Source organism: Homo sapiens, chromosome 10 (assembly GCF_000001405.40).
Source record: "Homo sapiens chromosome 10, GRCh38.p14 Primary Assembly".
Taxonomy (NCBI): Eukaryota; Metazoa; Chordata; class Mammalia; order Primates; family Hominidae; genus Homo; species Homo sapiens.
This window is the reverse complement of record NC_000010.11, coordinates 79,658,495-79,669,463: the sequence shown is the minus strand read 5'-3', so window position 1 is coordinate 79,669,463 and position 10,969 is coordinate 79,658,495. Positions and strand designations below refer to the sequence as shown.

General features: G+C 34.2%; 1 long non-coding RNA gene across 1 annotated transcript in view; it reads left to right on the top strand.

The window, feature by feature from the left end:
- The first annotated feature begins 6,278 nt into the window (after positions 1–6,278).
- The window catches only part of LINC02679 (long intergenic non-protein coding RNA 2679), a 34,429-nt gene continuing 29,738 nt past the window's right edge, over positions 6,279–10,969 (top strand). The window contains exon 1 of the long non-coding RNA NR_134315.1: positions 6,279–6,321. This is a non-coding gene — a long non-coding RNA (long intergenic non-protein coding RNA 2679). The remainder of the gene's footprint in view (positions 6,322–10,969) is intronic.

The following is a 10,969-nucleotide window of genomic DNA, read 5'->3' as shown; positions in this document are numbered from 1 at the left end:
AAAAAAGATAAAGTCTTCTCTGCTATCTCTGCTAGACTCTATAAACTCTCTTCCTGTCTCTGGAGTCCAGACACCCAAGCCTCCTTTTAGTTTTGAGCTTTCACTATGCTTTTAACTTAAAGACTTTGCCTACTATGTCTTTTCTGCTGAGAAAGCACCTTATCCCCTCAATTACCTGGTTAACATCAAATATCAAATCATGCTTCTGACTGAAGGCCAAGTACCACCTCTAGAAGAAATCTTCCCTAAGAACAGCCTACATACAGTTAATTGTGTGATCCCTTTTCTTATATCCTTCGAATACTCTTCCTTCACATTACTCTTCCTTCACAGCCTTTAGCCAGACAATATATTACAGGAAAACAGGGAGAACATGATTTTGCCATTCACTCTTACCTTTGCCTAGCCCAGTGCCTGGCAAATAATAGATTCTCATTATATATATATTTTTTGAATGAATTAATAAATCCAAGTAAAGTAATTGATGTTTTGGAGTTATCTAAGGCTGTTAAAATCAGTTAAATATAGTTAATGTGAAGCAAAAAACTGTAAACAAAATTAACGTAATATACACGCTGATGTTACTATTTTAGAAAAAACACAATAATTTACAAATTCCTTTCAATAATTCAATTAATGTTTATGAGATTTGATTGAAGACAAATCTGTCACGGCAATCTGTGAATGCTTTGTTGTAAATAAAAGATAATCCTTGTAATAAGCAAAAACAAATTAACATAACAAATGTCAATTTACAGATAGACAAAAAGTGATTGTTTTCTGGATGAAAAGAGGATTATTAACAGTTGGCATAAGAAATCAAAAATTAGTTCAATAATTAGTCGTATGGAAATGTCAAATATTGACATTAATGTGATAAAGAAAATAAGAGTTTCTGCAAATAACCTCCCATCCCTGATGTGAGTCTTTCACGTCATTCTATAGTTCAACTAGTTCTTAATAACTCAAAAACAGGAAAGATAAAATCCATCATTTTGTTTTACTACCCAGATCCCTCCCGTAGCTGTCATACAGAGTGCGATTTATGACTTGTAAGTTGTGCTATGGAGCTTGACAAGTAAGTTTGATTTCATTTAATATTTTCTTTAAACCATCTTAGATCTTCTCTTTGACAAGTATTTCATCTGTTAGTGTTCTCAAAATGTAAAATGGGTAACTTAATGAGAACAAAAATTGTACCCTAAGACATATTTGCACTATCTACATATTTGCAATTAAATCTTAACAGATTTAATTGTAATAGAATCTAATGGTTTTCCTCTTGAATTTTTTTAGACACCAGAAATTTTCATTACTAATAAATAATGTTTAGCTTCCTAGTCACAAACCAAACAGAAAGCAAATTTCATCAGAGTTTAGAATGGTTAAAACCAACATAGCTGCAATATTTTTAGTTTTGCTTTAAAATTTTTTGAATCAATCAGTAAATCAATCAGAGTTGACCATTATGTAATCCACAGACCTTGAAATAACAGAGATATATTTCTCCGCAGATCAATATCTATATATGTTTTTAAGATGAGTAGAAATTCCCCTGAAGATCATAAAGAAAAAGTATGTCATATAATATAGTAAATAAAAATAATAAGTTATTAATTTTTTCTGCTTATTATGTTCCAGAATCTGTACTAAGCATTTTAGAGGATTATTTTATTTAATTCCCACAACAATCCCTTGAGAAATATACTACAATAATCATCTTTAATTCACAGTTATTGAAAATGAGACACAAAGAGGTTAAGAATTTTGTCCAAGGTCAGGCAGCTAGCGTGACTTAGCAAGGGTGTAATTAAGAAAAAATATGTTTTCTTTATCTTATGGGAAATTTGGAAAAGCAAATATCTACATTCTCTTTTTAATAAAAAAATATATAAAATGTGAGTCTCTCTTAAAGCAGGGAATCAACTTTAATTAAATTGAAACAATACACAATCCTTTGTTGTTCAGGTTCTATATTATTATTATCTCTGCTGACAGCAAAAGCTAAGAATAGAAAATATTTCTGACCCAAGTTGGCAAATTATGAATCAACTTGCTAAAGAATCAGAATAGACTAACAAGTGGAATTAAATGTGATTATTCTATATTATATATAATATAAAAATTTCTTATTGTTATAATTTTACTAAGATTCTACCAGTTTCAACTAAATTATCTTTTAAATCCTAGCTTAATAAAAGAAATTTGGCATGAGATGTTTTCATAGGAAATAGTGACAATTCATATTATTTTTAATTAAGTGTAAATAAGATACATTATTTCTGTATTTCATTTTCCTTCTAAAAGTTATCTTTAAAGTTTTAGTTTTTCTGAAGTTGACAGCTATTACTAAGTCTTTTGGGCAAAGTTTTTTGAGATAGATTAATTTATAAAATTAGGAAGAAACTAAAGTAGTTGCAAAAGTTTCTAAAAAGATAATAAAGTAGTTGTCTCTATGTTATAATAGAAAATGAGAATGTGAATGCAGATCATTTTGACTCTGTTTGTGTTTTCAGCAAATATTACCTGAATATTGATATATAAATTAGAATTCCCCAAAGGAAAACATTTTAAAATGTTAAAATAAATAAAATCATTAACTTACATACTTGTCCTTAGTATCAGAACAATCTCCAGTGGATTCAACAGAGCATCTGCAGTTTTGTTGAACAAAGGTTTCTGCAATATAGACTCATGGTGTGATCTTACTGGGTCACATTCTTTGTTCCTTCTTGGAGCTTTGGGAGGCATTTATAAAAGAGCTGCTGCAGTAGAAGGACTGAGTTGTGTCACACTGAGGATTTAAGTTTCTATGGGAGAATCAAATTCACTTTAGGGATTTAGTGGGTTTCCCTAGTCTTATTAATAAAATACTAATACGACATGAAAAATGCATACTTTGTCTTACAATAATCCAATTAAGACACTATTTTTGCATAGCAAAATTCTTTACTAAACACCAGTTGCAAATCAAGTGAAATTGCATTGGCAAGAGGTGATCATACTGCTCTCCTACTCCTGCCCTTTCCTCCTACTCCAGCTGAAAATACTTGCTGCAAATGTCCTTTTATAGGAGACTTTGACCCCAGGGTGTAGAAAAGGAAAGGAAAAGGTCAGATATATATATGTCTTGTCTATAACTGAAACCTAATACCAGCACAAAAGCCTAAAAGGACCGATTTTTAGAGGGCGTTGGCAGGAAACTCTTTGCTCTGCTATCATCTGTTTTAAGCTACTTTTATACATGATTTATTATTTCAGCTTCTACTCTGCTACTATTCAACTGCAAATGCAATTTGTTATATTGTACACTTCAACACCTTGAACAGCATCCTAATTATTAGTGAAATGTATTACAAGTTCATAAAGAAAACAGCATTTTGTTTCTTCAGTCATCTACTTAAGATGAAAGTGTTATTTAGAAAAGAATAAATGGGAAAAATGATACATTAAAAATAAAAATTGCATATTAACTTTTTAGATCAAATAAACCAACTTTAAGCATTTTCATGGACCTTTATAACCAAAATAAACATTTAAATACAGATAATTTAATTCAGTATTTTGTTTCTTGAAAATATTGGAATATGTGTTTCAGATAATGCATATATTTCTGTTATTGAAAAATAAGCTTTCAATAGTCAGCTGACTTCATACGTAAATAATAATACCATTTTAAATTTATTCAAGGATTTAGGTGTTCTTAAATATGACTTTATAACTTATTTTACTCCCTTAAAGTAAATATTTATGGCATCTGTAAGTCATTGTAAAATTGTAAAATTGGTATAGCATAGTATTCAGATTGTCCTTTGTAATGTTTTATACTATTCACATTTGTATTTAATCACAAATTTGATACAATTTAGCCAAACCTTCAATACATTTATGAAGAGAGCACTACCGAGACTTTATACAATGGAATAAAATAACAAAATGTGCTGACAGCATTCTTCCACTCAAAGAGGTATATATATTTTTTATTCTAATTCTTTAATTTTATTTTTTAGCACCCAATGATGGGGAAAGTTACTGGAAGTGTGATTAAGGCTATTATAAGATACATAAACTGTATGGCATAAGCATTCTCAACTCAACTTCACACTCTACATTGTTTATCAACTTAGTATGCCAGCTTTTTAAGTTTGGTGGAATCTGGTATTCCACACCTACATGTCTCTGAATCCCACCCATGTACTGATGCCAAGATGAACTGAACCAGGGACGAATTTTTCTCTTATATGGAAACATGAATATATTCCATACTGGAGTGAGCTCTCATCAGCGGTTTGCCTATGGTAATTACTTTGTGCCTTGTAATGGGTCATGTAGTATCCTCATAAGGGTGTGTCTGAGTCCTAGAACCGCTCTCATTCCAGTACCTGTAAATATCGCCTTATTTTGAAATAGGAGCTTTACAGATATAATAAAGTTAAAGATCTCAGGGTGAGATCATCCTGAATTTAGAGTGCGTCATGGGTATTTGGGACACAGAAACACAAGCAAGGTCATGTGAAGATAGAGACAAAGGTTAGAGTTATGCTGTCACAAGCCAAGGAGTGCCACGAGCCACCAGAAGCTAGAAGAGGCAAGGAAGCATTCTTCCCTAGAGCCGTCAGAGGATGTATGGCTCTGCCTCCACCTTGATTTTGGTCTTCTGGCCTCTATAATTGAGAATTTTTTTTTTTTTTTTACTATTTTAAGCCACAAATTTTGTAGCAATTTCTTTTGGCAGCACTAGGAAACTAGTTAATACCTCTATTATTTGGTTAAACAAAGAACACTATTAAGTATTTTTAAAACAATGTACATCAGTGTTGATTATGGTAAGCATACAGTTTATAATCAGATAGGTTTCTGTGTAAAATTTCATGTTATTATATTGATTTGTTTTAACCATACAAGACTTGCTTGGATGTGGTACCATTGAATACCATCCCCATTCCCTCCTGTCCCACAGCTTTTTGAAATGTATGGGGCTTTGTTCTAGACTGAACATTCCTTTTCCCTCAAATTTCATATGTTAAAGCCCTACCCCACAATGTGACAGTGTTGGGAAGTGAGGCCTTTGAGAATTAATTAGGTTTAGACTAAGTCATGAGCGTAGGGCCCTCATCAATGGAATTAGTGTCCTTAGAAGAACAGGAAGAGAGTCTATAGAGTGCTCTCTCTCTCTCTCTTTCTCTCTCTATCTGCTATGTGAGGATACAGCAAGCCGGGAAGAGGACCCTCACCAGGAAACAAATTTGCTAGCACCTTAATCTTGCACTTTCCAGCTTCTACAATTGTGAGAAATGTCTGTTGTGTAAGCAATTCAGTCCATGATATTTTGTTATAGAAGCCTGGACTGACTGATAAAGGCTGGAACATGCTGGAGAGATGGTACAAAAACTAATTTTAGAAAAATATTTTAAGTTGTAAGATCTGAAGCAGAAGTCACTTACATATTACCATTTACATCACCAAATTACTCCATTTACAGTATAAATTAAGGAAATTTATGTTTTATTCAAGCCTTTTAAAATCAGCACACCCACCTTGCAGAAGTAATTAATAACCCATGATTATTAATTATGTTTGCCAAGTTAATTTTCATCCAGTATTATTTGCAGGCAAAGTTTGAAATTGATGAATCATCTCCCTTTTGAAATGTCACTTGTAGAACTAAAGGCTACCTATAATTTCTGTAATTGCTACTCTTTAATGGAACTTTAAACTTCTAAGAAAAATATTTCAATATATTGTTAAATTGACTTCAATGACTAAGATTGTGGTGGAGAGGATATTTCCCCAAACTAACTCTTTCTCTGACACTTAGGGGTTCATTGTAATAGTAACACCTTGCTAGCAGTCATCTGCTAGTGATTTGCTCATGGAAGAAAAAGGCTAAGGAAATTTAGGTTTGATGACCTTTTTCAGAGTTTCTGGGAAAGCAAAACCTTCTCTCTACTACTCACTGCAAACAAGCATGTTGTGCAAGCTGCTGCTGCCAACCAGGTCACATCCATTAGTGAAGTCAATGCTGTGGGGAGAGACATTCAAACCTGGGTCACTGATAATATCATTTTCAATTTCTGACCCAATCAATTCTGGGGCTTCCAATTCCTCTCTCCATGGTCTTATGTGAAATAATACATTTTTAAAACTGTTGAAGTCATATTGAGCTGAAATTTCCCTTAATTACAATTCTTACTATTTTAACTATTTATGCTAAGTTTCTTTGTTCCAGAAAAAGTACTTCAACTCGGCCGGGCACGGTGGCTCACGCCTGCACGCCTGTAATCTCAGCACTTTGGGAAGCCGAGACGAGCGGATCACGAGGTCAGGAGATCGAGACCATCCTGGCTAACACGGTGAAACCGTGTCTCTACTAAAAAAAAAAAAAAAAAATTAGCCGGGCGCGGTGGCGGGTGCCTGTAGTCCCAGCTACTCCGGAGGCTGAGGCAGGAGAATGTCGTGAACCCAGGAGGCGCAGCTTGCAGTGAGCCGAGATCGCGCAACTGCACTCCAGCCTGGGCGACAGAGCGAGACTCCGTTTCAAAGAAAAAAAAAAGTACTCTAACTCATTTTCATTTTTGTAGGACTTGAATTTTTTAGGGCAGTTTCAGTTTCACAGAAAAATTAAGAGGAAGACGTAGAGATTTACCATATATATGTAGTAATATATATTATATATGGTAATATACCATATATTACTATATATATATATATAACAAGCATGTGGAGGCAGGGTATATTATATATATACACACACACACACCCTGACATAATATATATATATATATACACACACACACACACCCTGACATAATGTGTATATACAATATAATATATATTATATATTATATTATGTATGTAATATATCCTGCCTCCACATGCATGGCCTCCTTCATTATCAATATCTTCCTCCAGAGTGGTACAACTGTTAAAATTGCCTCTACGTTAATACAATTTTATTACCCAGTGGTAAATATACATAACATAAAAGGTACCATTTAATCATTTTCAATTCTAAAACTCAGTGATATTGAATACATTCACAATGTTCTATAATTAACACTGTTTTCATAACTTTTCTATCACATCAAACAGAAGTTCTGTACCATTAAGCACTAATTCTCCATTCCCTTTGCCCCAGCCTCCATGCCCTGGAAACATGCAATCTGCATTCCCTCTACATTAATTTGACTATTCATGATCTTTCATGTAAGTAGAATCATATACTGTTTGTCCTTTTGTGTCTGGCTTATTTTGTTTAGCATAATGTTTTCAAGGTTTATCCATGTTGTAAACATGTATCAGAACATCATTCCCTTTTTATGGCTAAATAATCTTCCCTTGTATGTACATGCCACATTTTGTTTATCTACACATACAGGTTTGTTTTCACTTTTTGACTCTTGTGAATAAGAATGAGTGATAGTATCTGGTGTGTGCATACAGCCATTTTCTTACTAAAGGCCAATAGCATCAAGCAGTCTACTAATGGTTGTTATTTATCTGATTAGGATCCAGAGTTCCAAAAAGGTTAATTCTTTTTTTTTCCAGTTTAATGGCAGTTTTTGTGGAGGGATTGACTTCTATAACTCCCTATTCCAATCTTCTAAAATCCACTTTAAAAGAATGGTTTAAATTGTGTGCTTGTAGGATGAAATTGATAAACAATTATTTTACCAACTTTCAAAATTACATCATAGAGATAATGTCCTTTGACTATTGGGTGTTCACATATTTGGCATGTTATGAACAACTTTCTGGAAGATAAAGGCCTTTTATCTCATACTTAATATTAAGACAGGAACCAGTGTGCTAGCAATGGCTTTTGGGTTTGATGTGATATATTTGTATGTAATGATTTTTTAAAACTTAGAGAGAAAAATCCTCTCATACAAAACAAAATAGTTTTTACTGTTATGAGAAAGTAGTTATTAATTACTTATAAAACATGCAAGTATCTTTATGATATTTGGTGATTTATTTTTCTCCAGCCATCTTGTCTTGTTGTTAGTGGGGAAAAAAATAGGGATGCTCTTTATCTATGAAAATGTGAAAAGTATATACACATTTTAACTATACATGGTTTCCCTAAAAATTCTTCTTCTGTTTTTAATCCTCTAAAATGATCATTGATATGTACAAATAAATACTGATGATAGCAACTGAAGGATCATTTTTGCTGTTATCAGAAATTGAAAATACTGTAACAGTCTATCAATAGAGAAATGGTTATGTACATTATGATACATAGCATATGTCCATATTTAGAATACGTACCAAATGTATACAACAAAGCACAATGAATACATGATTATACTAAGATGGATAGGCATGGATCCACATATTACTCTGTTTGTACATGGTCTTTTCCAAACAGAAATACAATGTAAGAAAGAAGAAAAGAAAAATAAAGAGAAAGCGAATAAAGGCGACAAAATAAAATATAAACCAGGATGCATTAGCTGGTCTCATCTTAGGGCTGGAACACCAGTAAAGCTTCTCTTCTCTGGAAAAAGTTTAGGTCTCTGAAGTTTTCTCAGTGCATCATAACTGACAGCAGCAGGAATGTGGTTTTGCTAAAGGCAACAGAAAAGCAAAACTGTCTCAAGATTTAAATATTAATCCAAAGGTTGAACTTTTTACCTTAATGTTGCTGCTTTCTGTATGCACATCCCACAGGATGTAGGAAGGTGGAAAGGATGAAGGAATGTGGAAAATGTAGAAAATTAAAAAATAAGGTAAATTTAAAAGGTAATACGACTAACATTCATTCATTCACATTAAGCTCCTACCTTGTACCACATTGTATTGTAGACACTGCGGATATAGCAGTGAAAAAAAGAAAATAAAGAAAAATATGCCTTTTTGGAGCTTACATTCTCTTGGAAGGAGATGTGTAACAACATAAATAATTAAACTACATAATATGTTAAGTGTTGCTAAGTGCTATGGAGGAAAGTAAAGCAGACAAAGCAAATAAAGAACACGAGGAGGAGATATAATTTTAAGTAGGGAAATAAGGAAGGCATGACGGAGACAGTAGCATTTGAGTGAAAGACTTGAAGAAGGTGATATGGTTTGACTGGGTCCCCCACTAAATCTAAAGCTTGAATGGTAGTTCCCATAATCCCCACATGTCATGGGAGGGACCTGGTGGGAGACAATTGAATCATGGGGGCAGTTACCTCCACGCTGCTATTCTTGTGATATGAATGAATTCTCATGTTCTCTGAGGGTTTTATCAGGGTTTTTTCCCCCATTTTGCTTGGCACTTCTCCTTGCTGCCACCACGTGAAGAAGGATGTGTTGCTTCCCCTTCCACCATGGCTGTAAGTTTCCTGAGGTCTCACCAGCTGTGCAGAACTGTGACTCAATTAAATCTCTTTCCTTTATAAATTACCCAGTCTAGGATATGTTTTTATTAGCAGCATGAGAAGGAACTAATCCAGGAGATAAGGAAACAATTCAGGGGGGAACTTGAAGACAGGTGTTTTCAGTCAGAGAAACCATGTACAAAGCATCTAATGTGAGAGTGCTATGGTCTGAATGTTGACAACCACCCCCCTCCAAATTCATAGGTTGAAATGTAATTCACAGTATGATACTATTAAAAGTTAAGGTCTTTGGAAGGTGATTATGTCATGAATACAGAGCCTTCATGAAGGAGATTGGTGCCTTTATAAAGGATGCCTGAGGGGGTTGGTTTGTCCCTTCCACCATATGACGACTCCACCATGTGAAGAAGATGGGTCTATGAACTAGGAAATAGGGCCTCATCATATATGGAATATGTGAGCACTTTGATCTGGGACTTAGCTTCCAGAACTGTGAAAAATAAATTTCTGTCATTTATAAGCTACTTAGTCTATGGTATTTTGTTATAGCTGCTCGAATGGGCTAACACAGAGACAATTCCCAGCCTGCCCAAAGAGCACCAGGAAGTGTTGGGTACAGCAAAACTAGAACAGAGGCATGAGGGGAAGAGCAACAGGGCTGTGATCAAAGAGGTGTGCCTGGTGGGGAGCATGAGTAGAGCTGTATAATCTGTACAATAATGACCCAGAGTGGAATTAGAAGTCCTTAAAAGTGAATGAGCAGAGTGGCATGATCTCCATGATACTATGTTATATTCTTGCTTGGGTATTGAGAATAGACTGAGGGTGAGGGCCAATGCAGAAGCAGGAAGGGGGATAAAAATTCAGATGAGACATGATTTTGGCTTGGCCTGGGTGGATAACAGCAGTAGTAAAAATTATTTAAATGTTTTGAAGGTGGGTTTGCTGAGAAGTAAAGGATGTGTGGAGAAAACTGGATTGAGAATTGTATAAGGACTGTATTGTATATTGTATGAGATTGTAGATCCAGGATGAGTCACAGTATTTTTGAAGTTGTAGTAAATGGAATGAACTAGAAAGATAGAAGTTAATGTTCGGAAGGCAGGAGACTTAAAAGTTAGATTGTAAAAATTTGCAATTAGGAGTAATAACGTGGTTTGAGCTGAGATCATGAGATTGAATAGCTAGATACTGAAGATAGCAAGTACATTGGAAATGATGAGGTCAAATGTCAAAGAAGATAAGTAATTTAAATGAGACATCAAAATAATGGCAGTTAAGTCAGGTTGTAAAGACTGCAAAGAATGAGGGAAAGTGACTAAACATTGGGAGAGTGATCAATATAATCAAATAGTATGAGATTCCAAGCTGGAGGGGTTTGAGGAGAAGGAAGTAGAAGTATTCTGCAAGAGGACACTTATTTTACTTCTAGAGGCAGTGGTTAGAGCACTGAGGGTGAGAACTAGTCTGCACTTAGGGGGCGACATGAGAAGCAGCAGCATCAGTGAGAGACAGATGACAATAAGAATGAAAATGTAAAGGGAAAATTGAGAAACTTATAAAAATTGAGATTCTTCTATGCACTCTGTACATTTCTTAAAGAAGCTTTCAACACATTTAATTTCATTTAAATCTTG